The sequence below is a fragment of the Homo sapiens genome, chromosome 12 (genome assembly GCF_000001405.40).
Source record: "Homo sapiens chromosome 12, GRCh38.p14 Primary Assembly".
Taxonomy (NCBI): domain Eukaryota; kingdom Metazoa; phylum Chordata; class Mammalia; order Primates; family Hominidae; genus Homo; species Homo sapiens.
In genome coordinates, this window is record NC_000012.12 from 19,230,518 (window position 1) to 19,251,373 (window position 20,856).

The window sequence follows — 20,856 nt, forward strand, 5'->3', positions numbered from 1 at the left end:
AGGCCCGGCGAGAATTTGAGCACGGTGCGGGTAGGCTGGCAGTGCTGGGGCACCCGGCGCCCCCTCCACAGCTGCTGGCCTGGGTGCTAAGCCCCTCACTGCCTGGGGCCAGCAATGCCGGCCGGCCACTCTGAGTGCGGCCCGCGGAGCCTGTGCCCACCTGAAACTTGCGCTGGCCCACAAGCGCTACGTGCACCCCGGTTCCCACCGGCACCTCTCCCTCCACCCCTCCCTGCAAGCAGAGGGAGCCGGCTCCAGCCTTGGCCAGCCCAGAGAGGGGCTCCCACAGTGCAGTGGCAAGCTGATGGGCTCCTCAGGCACGGCCAGAGTGGGCGCCGAGGCCAAGGAGGCGCTGAGAGCACGCGAGGGCTGCCACCACACTGTCACCTCTCAATATCATGGTGAGTAAAGGACAACTTATGAAGTCAGTTACTTTTTCAGGACCTTTCATTGAGTTTGTTGCAGAGATAGAATTGTCTTTTAGGTCCTAAGGCTGTGTCTTAATCATGAGTCTCCATAACACAGTCTGTCCTGTACTGTGGTTTTTTTTAAAACATGGGTATTTTCTTCCTTCCCTACAAAAGGGTAAACAGGAGTTTCTTAATAAGTAAATCAAGCTAACACACAAAGCAACCATTGTAAGAGTTTCTTTGAGGCCTGTTTTTTTGATGATAATGAAACTGGTAACACTATCATATGTTTAATTCTATTCCTACATCAAAAACATACCATGTATCTTCCAAGCAGATGGTACAAGTGTAGAATTGACTGTTAGTACTTGAATAATAGATATTGTTAGTAAATCAGACTCTGTAGAAAACGAGTTAGATTTTATTTCCTTTAGAATGAAAATCATTTTATATACAGTTAGAGTGTAAGTCACAAACTACCATTCACAAGTGTACATTCACATAAATATGTGCAATTTTTGTCCATTTTAAGAAATGTATATTCATCCAAAAGGTTATACTTAGGACCTAGGTAAGGAAACTACAACTAAATTTGTATATATGTACACATATATATGTATATATATTTATATATGTACACATATATATGTATATATATTTATATATGTACACATATATATATATAAATACTCATAAAGCTTGAGTTATTTTATATTCATCATATTTATGATTTCATATTCATCAACGTGTTCTTGAATCAGAATTTATCATGCTAGAATTTGAAGATTATCTTTCATAAGGCACAAATTTTTACAAACCTAATTTTTTATTACTACTATATATTTAATTATAAAATCAGTAAATTTAAGTTTTTATACTACATTTGTTGCATATATACTCTGACTGGAAATTTTTCTAGAACTGTAGTGATTAAGATGAAAATGTAAAGATTCCATTAAAAGAATCACCACTCAATCTGTTTTTTTCCATCGAGAAAAATTGTCTTCAAGCACCCAAAGATAGAGTTTAAATATGCCAAAGGGGATATAAATATAACCACACATTTCTCCTATAGCTCAGAAGCTGAGATGCCCTATGAAAACAAGGACACGGGGAAGAAATAGGATTAGTTTTATTGCTCAAATAATTGCTGCTTTTTAGATTGTATTTCTCATTTTGGTTTGTATTTGGCTGTATGAATGAACTTATTAGATGTTAGTCCAGTCTCCATGAGTACATACTTTCCATCTGTTGTGCAAGATAGTTTATATTAACAGATTATTTGAGATGGAAGTACCCATGTCTCTAAATTTTGTTGGTTATGCTGATTGTTCCTAATATGTAGTACTGGAACTACCTGAGTGAGGGAGATTGGGGTAGATCTCTCTGAGAAGGTAACATTTGAGCTGGACCTGAATAATGTAAATTAGTGAGATATGCAAGTTATGACAGAGTTCAGAAGGAGGAACTTGTGGCTACTAATCTCGTACAAGAAGTGGAAAGAATTTAGAAAGGATTTGGAAGAAATAAGGAGAATAAAAAATGTCTAAGTCTCTTATTAAACTGGCCTTAGAGGGGTAACTCGTCATTGATAACTTGAAAACTTGATATTTTCAAATTAAACAGTTCTGAATCCCATTAGTAAGCAAATGTATTTTAGAAGTTGTCACTCTCTGAGGAGGAAGATTCTAGTGTATGAAGGGCTTTCTCATTATAAATGGTCTCTTCCTAAGCAGGTGTTTATGGATTCATTTGATTCTTAAATCATTCAACTCTTCCAGTTACTGTTTCTAAGAGTTGCTGTGTAGTGAAATTTCACCTCTAAAAGAAAACCAAGATGATAGCATGGAGCAACCCTTGAACATTTCTTGGGTAGTGGATGAAAAATATCTGAACTATTATGTCAGTATCAAATGAGGATGACTAGACTGACATTGTGTTTAGAAGTTGTTGGCCCCATACCCATGTCGATTGTCTTCCTTGGTGGCATAGAGTTTATTCTTATACTCTACTTCAGTTTATATAGTTGTTACCTGTGCCATAAGTTCATGGGATATTTGAAACCTACCTCAGGTAATCATTAGGTGTGAGAGTTTAATTTCTGTAAGCTGATTTACCCCTTACCTGATTACCAACTTTTAGCAGAAGATAATGAGGATATGAGAGAGAGAAAGACACTATATTTTCAAATTATTTTAAAATTTACTTTTGTAATTAGTGTTACTTTGGTTTTTCTTTTTTTAAGTCATGAACAAATGGTATGTGCTATACCAAAATAAATGAATTTGGAAATTTGGGAAAAAGTGAGAAAGGAGGTTTTCATTATCCTTAATTTTTGCCTCTGTTTAAACTTGGGATTTAATGTGCAGTTGTGCTTTTCTCGTACTAGTATTTTTCTGATCTGAACAATTTGTATTAAATGACCTAGGCAATAAAAATCAGTAGTCAACTGATGAAACATTTGCATGCATCATGTCGTACAGCACTGTTAGGTACTGTATGGAAAAGAGATTGGTAGGAGATCTGTTTCTTAACCGTTAAAAGAACTACTTTAAATATGTGTGATGAGTAAATTGGTACCAATTTACGGTATTCAGAACACCTCAATGCTGGATTTAGTTGTTTGAACATAAGCCTGTTTACTAGAGTGAATGCTGGGAAACTAGGTTAAGTCAAGGTCAAGGCTGGCACTTTGAAGAAGAGAGTGGTCAAAGTTTTAAATGGCACTGAGAAGTAAAGTAACATAAGGGCTGAAAAATTACAAATATCACAATTAGATCTTTAGTCATTATCACAAATATTGCTGAGGAATGTGCTGAAACGTTATTTGGTGGAGAGTACTTTGGAGGCCCTCACTGGATTTTTTCTGTGGCTTTTTAATGAAGCATTGTTCTTCACCTATAGTATAGAGATAACGTGAAAAGAGAATCAGGATTAATTGAGATTTAGGATTCCCCTTGATTTAAAGACGTTTATTAGCTCTCACGAAGTAGTGGAGCATTGATCCGCAGTCTACCTCAGCTTCTTTTCCTAAAACGTGGTTTGGGCAGAATTGAGAAAGTTAAACTTGTCATCAGTGACATTTGGGGAAAACTGGGCAGAATTTTACAAGGAACTTGTGAGAATTGCCCTATTTGTAACCTATTCTTTTCCTTAAATGAATAGTTTCTCTTTAACAGGGCATCCTTTTTAAATGTAAAATTTAGATTACATCTTAGATTTGCGCTTTTATAACTACTGCTACCTCTAACTGAAATCGCCTCTTGAAACAGTCAGGTCAGCTGTCAGTTTGTTAAGCCTTTTCCAGATTCCCCCAGGCATTTAGCCATTTCCTCTTCTGTGCTCTACAAATGAGGTTGTGTTATAATGATCTGTTTACAGCTCTTTCTCCTTCTTATTAAACTGTCACTTCAGGCTGTTAGGGCCTTGAGAGCAGGGACCTTATCTTATGGCCCCCTTCACAACTGTGTTTTCCCTGTGGCAGTCCTTCTGTAAACGGTGGCTGTATTAAAGGGCCTGACCTTCACAGGTTCTACAGAAGCTGTGCAGGGTGCTGGTAACTTCATAAGCCAAACACTTGGTTGACTTGATGCCTCTTAGTATCCCTCATAAGCTTCCAGAGTCTCTTGACACATCCCTGCTGATTCGATGTATTGTTTTTCTCCTGGCAGCCATATGCAGAACCACCATACCACTGTGTGATTATGCAAACATTGTGCTGCAATTTTATTACAAAAATGTCTGCCTTCAAATGGGGTGATCTTATAGCATATGCAACAGTGAATACACCTAAACCAACTCTGCCAGGATAATACAAAATTCCTTCTCAGTAAGTTTTAGAGGTGTTTTGTTACAGCTGTCTGATGAGAACAGTGAAGGCTTTATTATATAATAGAAGATCAAATTGATTTGGGGGTAAGGATAGTAAGCTTACTATATTTTAATCTTCATACAGTATTTATAGGTTATGGTTTATGTTTTTTATTATCTTTTAGTTTCTCTGATTTATGTTTTTTAAAGGGGGCTGTCGTTGGCTTTTAGAACTGTGGAAAAGTTGTTTCATTGACTTCTTTTTCATGTTTCTGAGAATGGATTTGTTTTCTTTTATTGTATGAGGAGTTTAAACTTGAACATATTTGAAACTAACAAAGCCTTCACTGAAAAAAATGAGAAGGATCATGAATCACTACTTCTCTAAAACATATGCAAACCCTTCTGGTTATAGCAAACTGTGTTGGCTTGCTTATCTATATTTCAAATTACATGATGAAATAATTTTGTTTTCTCAACTTGAGATGCTATTTTTAATTTTTGTTACAGCAGTTTCATATGAAAGGAATTTGTTTTAGCACCAGTTATGTTGCGTGCTAGATTTAGTTGTAAGACAACTCAGATTGAGGTATCTAAAAATTTTTATATCAGTAGCATTCTAACAAGGTATGTACAATATGTTTTGTAAAATGGTTTGCCCATACACTGTTAAAAATCCCCATTTTGGGTAAAGGGCATGAACTGTAGAAGAAATACAGTCAGCCACTAAATGTCAGTCAGCATTTAATTAAACACTTACAATGTGGTAAGCACTGTTCTAATTGCTTGACATGGTTTTTCTCATACAATAATCAGAAAAATCTCATGAGTATTACATTATTATGTTTATTTTCTGAGTAAGGAAATGGAGTCACGGGGAGGCTAAGTAACCTGCCTGTGGTCAGAAAACTGTTGAGAAAAGGAGCTGGGCTTGAACTGGGGTCATCTGACTTCATAGCTGATGTGCTTTTGACCTTTAAGCTGTACTGCTTTCTGTGTGAATAGGCATATGAAGAAAGGTTTAACCTCACTTTAAATTAAAACATACACACACACAATTAAAACAGTGCAATGGCTTTCTTGCAAAGAAGAAAAATAATTGTCAGTATTCAATATGAGCTGAAATGTGGGGAAAGGAGAAATTTAATGCACTGAGGTACAAATATACATTGTTACCTCTTTTTGGAGGATAGTGTGTGTAAATGTTGAAAACATGCACGTGTTTTGACCTATCCATTCCACTTCTGAGAATTATCCTACATAGCTAAACACAGAAAAGCACAAAGATATCTGAGCAGTCATCACAAAAGGAAAGTTAGGAATGTAATTGCTGACATGGAAACCTGTCCACAGCATATTATTGAGCAAAAGAAAGCATGTTGCAAAACATATATAGTTTTATTTCCTTCTGTTGAATAAATACCAACAAACTCTGGTTTGAAATGATGTTCACCACGATGTTAACAACTCTTACCTTTTCTGCTAGTTAGTATACGTTGGTAATCAAATGTCTGGGCAGCGCAGGCACTCTACCTGGGTTTGAATCCTATTTAATCACTTATTAGCATTGTGACTGTGGGCAAATTACTTAACTACTTTGTGCCTTAGTTACTTCAGTAAAATGGAGATCACTACTATAGAATCTATCTTGTTGGGTTATGAGGCTCACATGAATTTGTAAAGTGCTTAACATAGTAAGTGATCAATAAAACTGAGCAACCATCATCATCGTTTCTGGGTGGTGGAATTCCAGGCAATTTTAGCCTTTTGTATACCTTTTATTGCTTGAATTTTTGAAACAAATATATATCATCTTGGAAAAAACAGGAAAAACTGTTTTTAGAGTCATTTTAGTTGGGGTGCTTACAGTTTAAACAAGAAATATGCATTTATTTAGAGCTAAGTTTATTTTAATACTCAGTAAACGTTTTCTTCAGTAACTATTTGCATCCATATATCTTAGTGTTTTATCCTATGCTATATGCCAATTTTAAGGGAATTGAAATCATATTTTACTCTTATGGCTGGAAGGCATGCATAATCACAACAGATTCTTCCTGGAGGAGCTGCCTTAATTTGCGGCTGCAATGACATGTTCTGATGTGACGTCAGTCTGGTGTCAGACTTCCAGAGTGGCAGGCCAGCCTCACAACCACAGTGTATTTCCTCAGTGCTTCATCCCCACAGTGCTCACTGAGAACAGCTCAAAGACAAAGCAGTTGAGTCTTATTTTTACTCCAGTGTTCTTTTTGCCTGTAATTGAATATCCTTTTAAGAATTGATTTTGATGAAGGCTGGTGAGTAATTCTTGTTACTTTAATGTATTAATAATAAATAGCTAATAGCTAAGTGAACAGTAGTCCTTTTCCTCAGTTAATGATCCTATGGCAAATAATCTTGGTAGCTCTGGTGCCAGGCATAATATCTAGTGCAAAGGATTTACATACTATAAATATTTTTATAAACAAAGTATTGTTTTGTTGTAGAAATATAAGTATATTCATTAGGTTTGCAAATGCTTGAACATTTTAAGATTTGAGCATTGGGAATGTCTTCCTCTTAGTCTCTCCTTAACTTTAGGCTACATGAATACATAGTAGTCACAAATTGCTTTAAAACCTAAAGATTTTTATTTAAAATCTTATTGTTCCTTATTTTTAACTTACTCACAGAAGATGCTTGATTTGCCCCTAGACCTCCAAAGATAATTAGATGAATAATTCCTCAGATGTTCCTGTGGAGGTACTAACAGTATGCATTATGTAATTTTTTTTAAGGTATATCGATACTAGTCTAAACTTATTAATAGAAGCTGCTATGTCTTTAATTCTTCAATTATTTGGGCCATATCAGTGATATGATTCAAAGTAGGAATGTTTATTGACTTAAAATTTAAGAGCAATATAATGGCAGGAGATTATATATTACAGATCGTATTTTATTTAGCATTTAAAGAAATTAAGAAGTTTCTTAATTTTTTAAAGAAATTAAGAGTTCTGCTATTAATTGTAGAGGCCAGGCAAGATTTATTATTAATAATATCAATTCATGTTTCTTTGAATTGTACTATGTAAATTGATTTTGTTGTTTTAAAAGCATTAGTTTAAAAAGTAGGTTATGTTGGGTAAGCTTTTTCTTTTGTTTTTAGACATAGCTATTTTGCTTATAAATTCTTTTTCCCTATTTCATAGGGATGAATGATATTATTGTAATTTCATTCTATTTATATTGTACAAACAAAAGCCTACAAAGTCTTACATTTTGCTATTTCTCGCATAATTGTTTTCTTGCATTTTCAGCAGCAGCATTGTGATTTCAAGGTCTTTTAGAAGAATTTCCAAAGTTTTTTCTTAAAGAATAAAAAAAGATTAGTTTTTTTCTTATAATTGTGCTACTCTAGTTTTTTGTTTGTTTGCTACTCTAGTTTTCAAGTCTAGATGAGGAAAACATGATATGGAAATTCTTACTAAATATGTTAAATATTTTCACTTCAGTTTTCTGAAGCAGTTGAAGAATGACTTGCTGTACATATTTTTTGTGAATAATATAGTTAGGTATTGAAGTGATCTAAATCAGCTTTTTATATGTGAATGTAAAAAGAATAACAAGTTTTAGGAATTAACACTAACTGCTTCATATTATGACTCCCAGTATATTATACATCTATACTTAGAAGCATTGAAATATAGAAGTAGGGTTTCAAGTTTGCTCTATTTGACTTGACAGTCCTAATTTAAGAGCCACAATTTTTTCCTTAAGTTGCAGAATTTTCAGATTCCAACTAAGATTCTACCCAATTTAACTATACAGAGGAATATTTCTATTCCCTTTTAAAATTTATCTTGAATCCGCTGAAAATGTTTTAACGTGGCTTTAAGTCTGTATTTTAAACTTAATCGGTAAGTTACTGTGGTGATGATGAATTGGAATATTCAGTATACATTTTAAACAAAGATGTTTTTGAGACATTATGACATCATAGGTCATGGGTTGCTACTAAAGTTCAAGTGAAGAGAAACTATTTCAACTTTTTTTTGTATGAACAGGAAATTAAATCTGGCCAAAAAAAAAAAAAAAAAAAAAGGAAGAGGGCAATGAGCAGAGCTGTGGGGATAACTTGAAATTAACATAAAAGTTTTACTCAAGAATAAAGCAGTAAAACAGAGCACTTGTCTGTTTTCCAGTGAATAAGGTATGCTTTGAGGAACGCTTTCCACCAATACTATAGACTGCTTGAAAAAGTGTAATTGTGCTACTCTTCTTTGTTTGAAGTTTAGCCTAGTAAACTCAGATGGAATAGTATTTCTTAAGGCCCTTATAGTCTTAAACTATATTTTTGTTCCCTTGTGGTAGACAGTACAAAACGTTGTATATATAGGATGCTTAATAAATAATTTCAACACGAAGAAATGAATTGGCAAAGCAAGTTAAATACGAGGAGGATATCTTGATCTTTGCATTGTAGAGATTCCATCTTCACTCTGATGATCAAAACCTGCTAGTTAACTAGCCTGTTGATAGCATGCCCTGCGTTGTACTCTGCTGGAAGGAAATGTGTCTCCAGAGTGAAATATTGCCATCACAGTGTCCTGTAGTGGCCATTGGATTTCCCCCCATGTCTCCAGTTATTGCCCACTCTGCTCACAATGTCACTGCTATTGGAAACTGGGTTACTTACCCTGCTATTCTGGATTGAATTTCTGTCCCCCTCGTGCCTCATCTGCAAGTGAGAAATTTCTCAGTGCTTGAGGATAATGATTTGTTGACTAAACTGAACCTAAATTAGGTGTTATGTGCATCACATAAAGTGCATTACTATCTGGGCCTTTTCAGAGTTTTAACAAATATATTATTTTGGAATTGAAGTAAAAGAAAACCTAGGAGGGGAGCAAATACATTGTTTCAAAACTTATATAACACATTTTATATACATAAACATATTGTTAGTCAAAGCCTAGATTTTCAACCACATTTCTTTGTGCCCTAGCCAGCTTCAATCTGTGCTGAACTCCAGCCACATCTGACTAATCCCGCTGATTCCACCAGGCTCAATTCAAATGGTAGCCACTTCCGTGATGCCTTCTCTGCTCTTTTCCTTTCTAAGCAAGATCAATCCCTAATCGGTTTCCCCTTTGTATTTTGTTTATGGTTATGAGACTCTTCATGTTTATTTATTTGTATTTGTGATATTATTAAGGCTGTGTCACCAGTGCCTAGCACATATAGAATGAATAAAAGTGTTTGTTATGCTACAAGATAGCTATTTTGAAAGAAAGCCAAACGTTTTTTACAAAATCTTTTTGTATCATAGGAATATCATTTGACTTATGAGTCAGCTCCTTTTTTATTCTTGAAGAAATTGTTTAAAGCTCATGCAGTATATGAAAATGAATACTGCACGATACGGAATAAGTGATTAGCAGTTTTTCCCCTTTTGAATTGAACTGTTACTCTGTCAGTTTGACTCTACTGGAAAGAATGTGTTTTATCTACAATAAAATAATTGGATCTCTTTAAATTGTGTGGCAATTTATGTATAGGTTATAATTTGGTTAACTTTCTAAAGTGGAGTGTGACCACACGCAAAAGAGTGGATACTTAAACTTTTTCTAATTTGCCTTTTGCTTCCTTCCCAAAGGTATAATAAACTTCTATATAATGCATGTTACAATAAAATATTACAAATTAGCATTCATTAGGGAGTTTTTTTTTTTTTTTTTTTAAAGACAGGGTCTTGCTGTTGCCCAGGCTGGAGCATAATGGCACCATCATAGCTCACTGCAGCCTTGAACGCCTAAGCTTAAGGGATCCTCCCACCTCAGCTTCCTGAGTAACTGGGACTACAGGGATGCACCACCTCACCTGGCTAAGTTTTAATATTATTATTATTAATTATTATTATTATTATTTTTTTTTAAGAGACAGGGCCTTTCTTTATTGCCCAGGCTAGCCTCAAACTCCTGGCCTAAAGCAGTCCTCTCACTTCAGCTTCCCAAAGTGCTGGGATTACAGGCTGTGTATATTTTTGAATGCCATGTTATTGCTTTTAAATGACGAGAATATTTCTGATTATTGAAATGTTTCTGAGTTAGGGTTCTGCCCAGTTTTATTTTGAAAGTCAGTAAGACTCTTGTGACACAATATTTTTATACAAGTGACTCTGCAACTTTTCGAGTAAGTATTCTTTTTAACCCGCTAAAATATACCCTGTGAGCATTTTTATTCTGTTATGTGGCTTTATAAGTGCTTTTTCCATATATCATTCAACAGTAAACTTTAACCTTGGATCACATTATCAGTGTTCCTTATTCATTAAATTACAGTTGTATGCAAGCCATTATACTTCACATTAAAGATGATGCAGAGAACCAACAATTATTTAAAGCAAGGAAGTGACATAATTTACTTGTTTTTAAGAAATCTGATTCTACTAACACATTCAAGTTCAGCTGTTATATGGTGAGGACTCTATTAGATCCAGCTAATATGCCTTGATGTGTAACCAGATAATTTATCCTTTTAAAGGGGTAGGGGTTTTGTTGTGCTGCTGGTTTGGTTTTTTGGTTTTAATTCCTATTCTACAGAAAGAAGCTGAAGCTCAGCTTGGAGGATAGACTCAATAGTGAAGAGTCTTGTTACAATGAGGTGGATTCAGATGCTGTTAAGAGAGTCTTATGTTGTACACGATAAATACATACTGTCTTAATTTTTCAGTTGAAAAATAAATTGTAAAAATAGCTGGGTGTGATAGGCTCATGCCTGTAATCCCAGCACTATGGGAAGCCGAGGCGGGCGGATCACTTGAGGCTAGGAGTTCAAGACCAGCCTGGCCAACATGGTAAAACCCCGTCTCTACTAAAAATACACAGATTAGCTGGGCATGGTTGTGGTGCCTGTAATCCCATCTACTTGGGAGGTTGAGGCAGGAGAATCACTTGAACCCAGGAGTTAGAGGTTGCAGTGAGCCCAAAATCACACCACTGTACTCCAGCCTGCCTGGGTAATAGAGTGAGATTCCATCTAAAAAAAAAAAAAGAAAAGAAAAATAAATTGTAAAGATAAATACATACAATTTTTTTTTTAAAAAGAGTCTTAGAACCATATGCGCCTGCACAGTGGCTGAGATGTTATTAGCAGTCAATATCACTTAATTCTTGAATACTTGGCAGAAAATTACTTTGGCAAATTAGTGTGTACATTTTAAGAATCATATTTCTGTTTTAACCATATAGTACCAGTTAACCTTCCCATTCTCTTAAATGGTTAAGTTCAGATTCACTCAAATTACTTACAGGTGAAAGAATTATCTAAATTATGTTAAGCACTTTTGCTTTTAATTTATCAAGTGATCTAAAATGTAACTCTGCTGTAATACTCGGGATGGATGTGATAGGTACATTTTAACTAGCATGGTGTTAATTGAATCATTCTTACATTACTTTCAAAATTGCTTTAAATTCATTAAAAGGTGTTCATTTTGTAAATTCCTTTTTTTGTTTTTTTTTGTTTTTTTTGTTTTGAGACAGAGTCTCACTCTGTCATCCAGGCTGGAGTGCAGTGGCACGATCTTGGCTCACTGCAGCCTCCGCGTCCTGGGTTCAAGCAATACTCATGCCTCATCCTCCCTAGTAGCTGGGACTACAGATGGGCGCCACTGCACACCTGGCTAATTTTTGTATTTTTAGTAGAGACACGGTTTCACCATTTTGGCCAGAGTGGTCTCAAACTCCTGACCTCAGGTGATCCACCTGCCTCTGCCTCCCAAAGTGCTAGAATTACAGGCGTGAGCCACCACACCCAGCCCATTTTGTAGATTCTCAGTGTGTATGCTGGTTTTATTTAAGAGAGCTTTTAAGAAAGATAACTTAGAAATTATCAGTGAAAAACCAAATCCTAAAACAGGTGAGTTGGCATGTGAGCTTTTTATGTTTTGAACATTTAATTTTTTTCCCCTTAATGTTCTTAATGTCTATAATAATGGTTTTAGCTTTGTACTTACAGTGTTACATCATACTCATATTTTCTCACTGGGGTTTAAGTCATCTCTTCTGAGTCAAGCAAGATTTTCAGTTCCTGTTGGGTGCAACACATGCTTTATAATTGTTATTATTTGTATTTAAATTCTTTGATACCTGTAATGGTAGAAATGTGAGGTAACATTTCTAAATCTGTTTTGGAGGTAATTTTGTCTGAACAGCTAAGAGTAGGAAATGATTATGAAGCTTCCAAGGATGAGAGGCATTGGGTTTAAAATTAAACTGGAATTGGGAAAGCTTTCATTACTGTGCTTCAGATAGAAATGATCCTGGGGTGATGGTAGGCAGTGAGATGAGAGGAGGAGGGAAGAGGAGCAGTGAGAGAGGCAGCATGTGCATGGCACATCTGCTGTCAGTGGAAGAAGGAAAGGGCCTCTAAGGAAAGTATGGCTTTATTCTGTTCTAGTGTCATTGAACAGAAGATGAAAGGCAGAACTGAGAAGTCTCATTGGCTGTGGAAGAGTTGGAGAAAGGGGCAGCTGTTGAAAGGTTGGGATCTGAAAAGGAAAGCAGCTCAAGCCTTGGAGGCACTCCTACTTGGAGTATGACTTCTGGCAACTTTCTAAATGCTATGAGCCTCGGTTTATGTATTCATAAACTGCAAATAATAACACCTACCTCAAATGGGCTCTGTGAGGATTGTCAAGGCCATTACGTGACAGCTGAATATGTGAGTAGCACTGAAATGCTTAAGGGTAGCTGTTATGGTGGTGATCATAATATTTATTGCTGGAGGTGAGGTTGAGTGAGGTTTTCACACCTGATTAATCCCTTCCTTTCTCCCAAGAAATTGGAAATTATCCGTTTTCTAAATGATGAGAGGAGAAAGAATAGAAATTAAAGGGTTAAGACCTTAAGGAGAATTTGTAGATGGTGGGTAAATGAAACATTGAGGTTTGAGCAGGATGTCTGGAAGCAGTTAGTTCTAAGTTAAAGGCAAATGACATTTAGAACTAAATGTGGGGAAAGGAAATATATACTTTTCATGTTTTACCCCTCAAAAAAAATTACAGTCTTTGAGATTGCTAACTCAGTGGTTATTTCTTCACATAAAAAAGCCTCAAGAATTCAGTTTCAAGAAAGGCAAAGCACTTTTAATGTTTTTCTTTTGTTCTTAAAACATTGCCTTTAATTGTAGGCACAATTTTCTATGCCAGCGTATTTTCAGTTTAAAAATAAATTGCAGAAACTGTCTTTGTGGCAGCCAGATTTCAACAGGACATTTTTCTCCTTTTTATTACAATGAAAGTAAATGAAAAGTTATCTATGTGAAACATTAAGAAATTTTATATTTAATAATAATTTTTAAATTACTTGACTAGCATAGGCTGAGTTGATTTAATAACTAAATGGCTGCTACAAACATGTTTTTTAAACCTAATTAAGATTTGATTGTTTGAGTTGCAAAATTACAAGACACTGTGTGATTTCTATTGATGAAATCTCTTCAATTTTAAGGCAAGCTAGAGAGTATAATTGTTTTTAATAGAGTAATGAAACTAAGGCCAACTTAAGAAGCTAGTAAATTATAGTTAAAAATTATGGTACTCTTTTTGGTTTCACTAGAAGGATACTGAAAACACAAGTTAAAAGCACACATCTGAGCTTTTTGCTGCATAGTTTTCTTCATAGAGAAATACAGTAGCTTCCATAGTTTCCACACCTCTTCTGCCCCACTCCAGTCTAACATTATTGTGGATGTGTGGCAGCTTTTGTGGGTTGGGCCTTTGCAAAAGTCCAAGTCATGATACTGGCCTTTGTTGCCAGGAGTGGCAGAAGAATTGCCAAATGGCAGCTGCCAAACCACTATGCTATTCTATTTTTCTTAAACTAAATTAAATCTTTTTCTTTTTCCCTTAAGGGAAATACATGATTCAGAGCAAATCATATAAATGGGTACACATGTGAGTTTAGTAAGAAACAACTGAAATCTCTTCTGTGGGATTCTAAAATATATATTACTCGTTTTGCGCAGTAGATACATTTTCAACGATATTACCATGGTTACATATATGAAACACTGCATAATAAAGGTTGCTTTGCCTGACTGTAATGGATCACTCAGAAGAATAGTATTGGCTGTTATTGGCAATATGTTAATAGCAATTTCAATATTCTTTTAAAAAAGCAGAGTGGATTTTGGATTAAAAAGCAGAGTGGATTTTAACTGCTTTGTCACTGAAGTTGCCCATGAAATAGAGATTTAAAAAAAAACCCCACCAAAAACACATGCTCCCACAAGGAAGAATTGCATTATGAAAGGTAGTGTGTAGCCAAAACATTAAAACATTTTTCTGAAGGTAGAAACAAAATCTCTAAAGGTCTGAAGTTCAGGTTAAATTACCCTTTTACCTTCCCAAAGCAAGAAACTAGTAAAACCATTTTCCTCTTTTACCATATAAAACAAGAGAAATCTACTTTTGAATATGCTAGCGCAGATATTTTCTTTGGACCATGTGTAAGTTGCTTTGTCTAAGAAAACAGAATATTTCTTAGCTAATAGCCTCTTCCTTCCCCTTTTTCCTTGCTATTATAATATAACTGCATTTTATTCAGTTTCCTCTAGGTCGGCCACAGACAAAGTTGTGAATTTTGACTGGAGTTAGCTCGCTCACCATAGTAGTCCCACTTATTTTGCCGTTGGTTGAATTGGACATAGAATCTCATATCTCTGACTAGTGAGATTCTTGAGAAAGATGGCCAGGGAGATTTTGGGAAACTTAGAGGGCAGATCACCTGAGGTCAGGAGTTCGAGACCAGCCTGGCCAATATGGTGAAACCCCGTCTCTACTAAAAATACAAAAATTAGCCGGGCGTGGTGGCAGGCGCCTGTAATCCCAGCTACTCGGGAGGCTGAGGCAGGAGAATAGCTTGAACCCGGAGACAGAGCTTGCAGTGAGCCGAGATCACGCCATTGCACTACTGCCTGGGGAACGAGAGTGAGACTGTCAAAAAAAAAAAAAAAAAAAAAAAAAAACCTTCCTTTTAACTCTAGACTTCGTGGTTCAGAGTATTGCTTTGTGATACAGCAGCCACCTTGGGCTTGAGAGGATGCCTAACTAAAAGGCACAGGGCAACCCAATAAAGATGGCAGTGCTGCAGTATTAAGCAATCCTGAGTCATCATCTCTTTGAAATCATAAGTATTATTTTAAAATAGTTCTTTCCGTATGTGGTTTAAAGAATATATCTCATTTACTGCCTTTTTTTTTTTTTTCCTTTTTTTGACAGAGTCTCACTCTGTCGCCCAGGCTGTAGTGTAGTGGCATGATCTTGGCTCACTGCACGCTCCATCTCCCAGGTTCATGCCATTCTCCTGCCTCAGCTTCCCGAGTAGCTGGGACTACAGGCGCCCGCCACCACACCCGGTTAACTTTTTGTATTTTTAGTAGAGACGGGGTTTCACCGTGTTAGCCATGATGGTCTCGAACTCTTGACCTCGTGATCCACCCGCCTTGGCCTCCCAAAGTGCTGGGATTACAGGCATGAGCCACTGCGCCTGGCTTGCTGCTTTGTTATATATATGTAACATTACTTGAATTTTTAAATGTTTAAATCTAGTACATTTAAGGCTGGGTGCGGTGGCTCACGCCTGTAATCCCAGCACTTTGGGATGCTGAGGTGGGTGGATCATGAGGTCAGGAGTTTGAGACCAGCCTGGCTATGATGGTGAAACCGCATCTCTACTAAAAATACAAAAATTAGCCAGGCATGGTGGCAGGCGCCTGTAATCCCAGCTACTTGGGAGGCTGAGGCAGGGAACTGCTTGAACCCAGGAGGCGGATGTTGCATTTAGCCGAGATTGCGCCACTGCACTCCAGCCTGGGCAACAGAGCAAGACCAAAAAAAAAAAAAAAACAATCTAGTACATTTAGTACTGGATTCATTTCTATAAAAATCAAATTCTGATTTTTAAATAACTTCTAATAAGGGTATTTTACCTATAGATATCAGATAAAAAAAGATTTTTGCATTCAATGAAGTTTCGCATGGTTTTGGTCTTATTGGATAACAGGAATCTTAATACCAAATTTCTTTTGTCAGTTAGTACTTAATTCCATTGAATACTTTAGTTTCTTTCCTTGTATAATTTGAAGTAACTCTCCATTAAGAATGAAATAGGCCCCTCACTTTTATGGGCTTTTATTATTTTAACTGGAAATTTGAAACACCATATTAACAAACAAGTTTTTTTTCTAATTGCCTATTTTTATTGGGGTTTATATTGAAATGTGCACTTTATGCGTTTATTTTCATGAGAGAATGTGTGCATGGTTATGATGTTTTTTAAGGAATGCCATTGGCATCCTCCTTTGTATGTCTCCTGAGGAGGGAAAACCATAGCAATGTCGACTCTACGAAAAGTATCTTCCTTTAATTACCCTGGAAAGGGAGGCAAACAACAGCTTCCCCCGTTTTCAGAGTGCTGTCATACAGTTTTAGTTATTTATATAAAAGAAACCTGTCACTTAAAGTTGATTTAAACCTGGTAAATTGCTCTTCCTTCCATCAGTAGTTTATAGGAGCTGTGTGCTTTAGCTTTCTCTTTTTATCTAAGCTTCCAGAAAGCTCAGAACTAAGATGTCTGCTTAAAAGTTCAGCATAGCCCAGGTGTTCCAGTAGTTACCTACGTAATTCATTATTTGGTTTATAAAATACATAAGATTGGAAAAGGAATTAGGTAGACTAATGAATTTCTATTTTATCTCCAGTAGACATGTCATTTTAGTGTTATACAGTTTGATGGAAATATATATACCATTTTATATACACACTGATTTAGTCATCTTAAAATCCTTCACAACCAAATTATTATTAAATGAAATAATAGTTTCATAGAAGCTTTAAAGTATCAGGCCTTTCATTTACTCTTCTGATTGTAGTAAATGATTAAAACTCTGGTAATAAATAGGAAAAAAACAATGCCAAGCCCAAGCAATCTGTGTTGCTATTTATCAATTCCTTGGTATCTTTTCTTTTTTTAAAAAAAAAAAAGGTAGGGGGTGAGGGCATTCGTTCATTTTATGCTGACCTTTAGTAGAGCATAATCATCAAGTTGAGCTTGTAAATATGACCTGTTTTCTTTAGCCCTGGAAGCTCTAGAATAACAGAGTGCTTTTAAAAAAAAAATTAACTTTTAATTTAAATTTAATTAAAAAAAAAAGAGAGAGAGAGAGAGAGACAAGGTCTTGCTCTGCTGCCCAGGCTGGAGTGCAGTGGTAATCATAGCTCACTGCAGCCTCAAACTCCTGGGCTCAAACATTTCTCCTGCTTCAGCCTCCTAAGTAGCTATTTTAAAAATTAGGTGGGTGTGATGGCGTGCACCTTTAGTCCCAGCTACTTGAGAGGCTGAGGTAAGAGGACTGCATGAACTTGGGAGGTTGAGGCTGCAGAGAGTTGTGTTCACATCACTGCATTATGGCCTGAGGGATAGAGTGTTTAATCTTTAATGCCATAGTTTTTTGCCCAGACTTTAGTGCATTGGCACTATCTCAACTCACTGCAGCCTCTGCCTCTTGGGGTCAAGCGATTCTCATGCCGCAGCCACCAGAGTAGCTGGGATTACAGGCGTGTGTCACTATGCCTGGCTAATTTCTGTATTTTTAGTAGAGACAGGGTTTCGCCATGTTGTCCAGGCTGGTCTCAAACTCCCGGCCTCAAGTGATCCACCCTCCTTGGCCTCCCAAAGTGCTGGGATTACAGGCTTAATACCATATTTTTTAATGTACCTTTTCTGTGTTTAGATATATTTAGATACACAAATAATTAACATTATACTGCAATGGCCTATAGTATTCAATACAGTAACATGCGTTACCTGTTTTTATCCTAGAAGCAATAAGCTATACTATATAGCCTAGGTTTATATATAAATATATTTTCTATTTTTATAGTAGGCAGTACCAACTAGGTTTGTGTATATACACTTTATGATGTTCACACAACTAAAATCACCTAATATATTTTAGAATGTATCACCATAGTTGGGGTTGAGTATGATGAAACAAACAAACAAAATGTATTACCATAGTTAAGTGACACATGACTGTATGGGTAGGCACGAAGTTAAACTTTTAATTTAAATAATTGACCAAATACTAATATAATGATGACATATACTGAATGTCCTGCAGTTCATAATAATTGTAAATAACATTTATCAAGTGCTTATTATTTTCTACAGCTTCTATTATAAAGTAAGTTCCATGAGGGCAAGGATTTTTTATGTTTTTCTCACTGCTTTATGATACATTTTAATTTATAAATTAGGCACAGTGGGACAGGCATGCTGATTCATGCCTGTAATCCCAGCAGTTTGGGAAACCAAAGTAGGAAGATCACTTGAGCCCAGGAGTTTGAGGCCAGACTGGGCAACCCAGCAAGACCCCATCTCTGTTTTTTAAAAAATTAGGCACAGTAAAAGATTAACTACAATAACTAATAAAAGTGTAACAGCATGCCAGCATCACTAGTCTTGTACTTTAGGGGGTGGGGTGGGGTCATTATTAAGTAAAGTAAAGGTTGTTTGAACACAAAAACTGCAATACCTCAACAGTTAATCTGAGAACCAAGCCAACTACTAAGTAACTAACGGGGCAGGTTGCATCGACAGTTTAGAGACACTGGACAAAGGGATGATTCACATCATAGATGGGATGGAGCAGGATGGAGAGAGATTTCATCACACTACTCAGAACAGCTCACAATTTAAAACTTAAGAATTGTTTATTTCTGGGATTTTCTATTTAATATTTTTGGGCGGCAATTGACTGAGGGTAACTGAAACCATAGAAAGCAAAACCACAGATAAGGGAGGACTACTGTATATAAATATATGTCTATATAGATGTTATATTTTTGAAAATATTTGTGTGTATATACATGTATATGCTGACTAAATGAAGGAATAACCTGTGACATAGCTGCCTTTATTCAGTTGAGACACAGAGAGGTAAAGTAAGTTGCCAAAGATCACCTAGCTATTAAGTGGAGGAGCTGGGATTCAAACCTATGTAGTCTGATTTCAGAAACTGTGCTCTCAACTGCCATTGTTTTCTGCTACCTCTGTTGTGTTTACAGAAATACAGGAACACGAATAGTAAATATTGCTTTTCTTATTCAGTCGAGTCAGTTATTTTAAGGGTTATGATAGCCTAGTGCAGGGCTTCCCACCCTCAGCACTGCTGACCTTTCTGGAGGTTTATTTGGACATGGAGGGCTCTGCTCTGCATTATAAACTGTTTAGCAGCACCCTGGCCTCTACCCACTAGACACCAGTAACATTTCCCCAGTTATGACATTCAAAATGTTACCAGGGATTGCCAAATGCTCCCCTGGAGGCGAAATCACCCAATTGAGAACCACTTGTCTAGACCTATATATTAAAAGTCTGGAAGTAAGAGTAGGTAAACACTGGCATTGTATTTAGAAAAGTTTGGACTTCCTACTAGGCCACAGTGACTACAGAGACAAGGTGGGAATTAGTTTGTTCTGTGACCATAGGTATGTATTATATCAAGACCTGAATTTGGCCGGGCGCAGAGGCTCATACCTGTAATCCCGGCACTTTGGGAGGCCAAGGCGGGTGGATCGCGTGAGGACAGGAGTTTGAGACCAGCCTGACCAACATGGTGAAACCCCTCTCTACTAAAACTACAAAATTAGCCAGGCGTCGTGGTGCATACCTGTAGTCTCAAATACTTGGGAGGCTGAGGCAGGAGAATCGCTTGAACCTGGGAGGCGGAACTTGCAGTGAGCTGAGATTGTGCCATTGCACTCCAGCCTGGGCAACAAGAGTGAAACTCCGTCTCCAAAAATAAAGATAATAAAATAAAAAAAAATAAAGACTTGAATTTTATCCTTTTTATAAGGATTCTTCTAGAAATACAAATTTTTTAAATACTTTTTTTTATTCTCGGTTTTTATTAAGCATAAAATATCTGGCAAGAATTTTTTAAGTGACACCTTGTTTCAGTGTCTGTTAAAATTCTAATGCATTTTTAATAGGATAGTGATATGTTAGTTTGTAATTTAGTAGTGCAATACGTATTGCAAAAATATAGCATGTGTGTCCCTAAAAATCACCTCTTCATGCAAAATCTGGAAACAAAAAACGCAGGGCTTGGGGGGAAAATGGATCTAGGAGCACACTACACAAAAACTTCATTAGTGACACATGGGAATAAAGATAGGAACCGAATAAAAATGGTAGCATAATAAATATGACATTTGGCCTTGAAAAAGACCCGCATTTTGCTTGTGAAAGTAACTGAGTGTTGAAAGGGTTTCAGCATGTGAATTATTGGGAGGTGCTGGGAGGAAGGTTATCTGAAATTGAGTTGAAAGCTGTAGGCCTGGTGCGGTGGCTCACAGTGTAATCCCAGCACTTTGGGAAGCCAAGGCTGATGGATCACTTGAGGCCAGGAGTTCAAGACCAGCCTGGCCAACATGGCAAAACCCCATCTCTACTAAAAATGGAAAAAATTAGCCAGGCATGGTGACACACGCTCGTAATCCCAGCTAACTTGGGAGGCTGAGGCAGGAGGATCCTTTGAACCCAGGAGGCAGAGGTTGCAGTGATCTGAGATTGCGCCACTTCAC

The 20,856-nt window shown here is 36.6% G+C and overlaps 1 protein-coding gene across 73 annotated transcripts in view; it reads left to right on the plus strand.

Moving 5' to 3' along the window:
- PLEKHA5 (pleckstrin homology domain containing A5) overlaps positions 1 to 20,856 on the plus strand; it is a 246,668-nt gene that overhangs the window by 100,785 nt on the left and 125,027 nt on the right. For 14 of the 73 annotated variants that reach the window (NM_001385942.1, XM_047429029.1, NM_001385951.1 and 11 more), the window contains exon 1: positions 6,375 to 6,517. The exons of 47 other annotated variants lie outside the window; for them this stretch is intronic. The gene's annotated coding sequence lies outside the window, so the exon portion shown is untranslated. Of the gene's footprint in view, positions 1 to 6,374; positions 6,518 to 8,266; positions 8,413 to 9,207; positions 9,281 to 9,946; positions 10,395 to 12,662; positions 12,927 to 20,856 lie in introns of those variants that run through there. 12 more of the 73 variants (NM_001385956.1, NM_001385973.1, NM_001385961.1 and 9 more) reach the window with 8 other exon arrangements.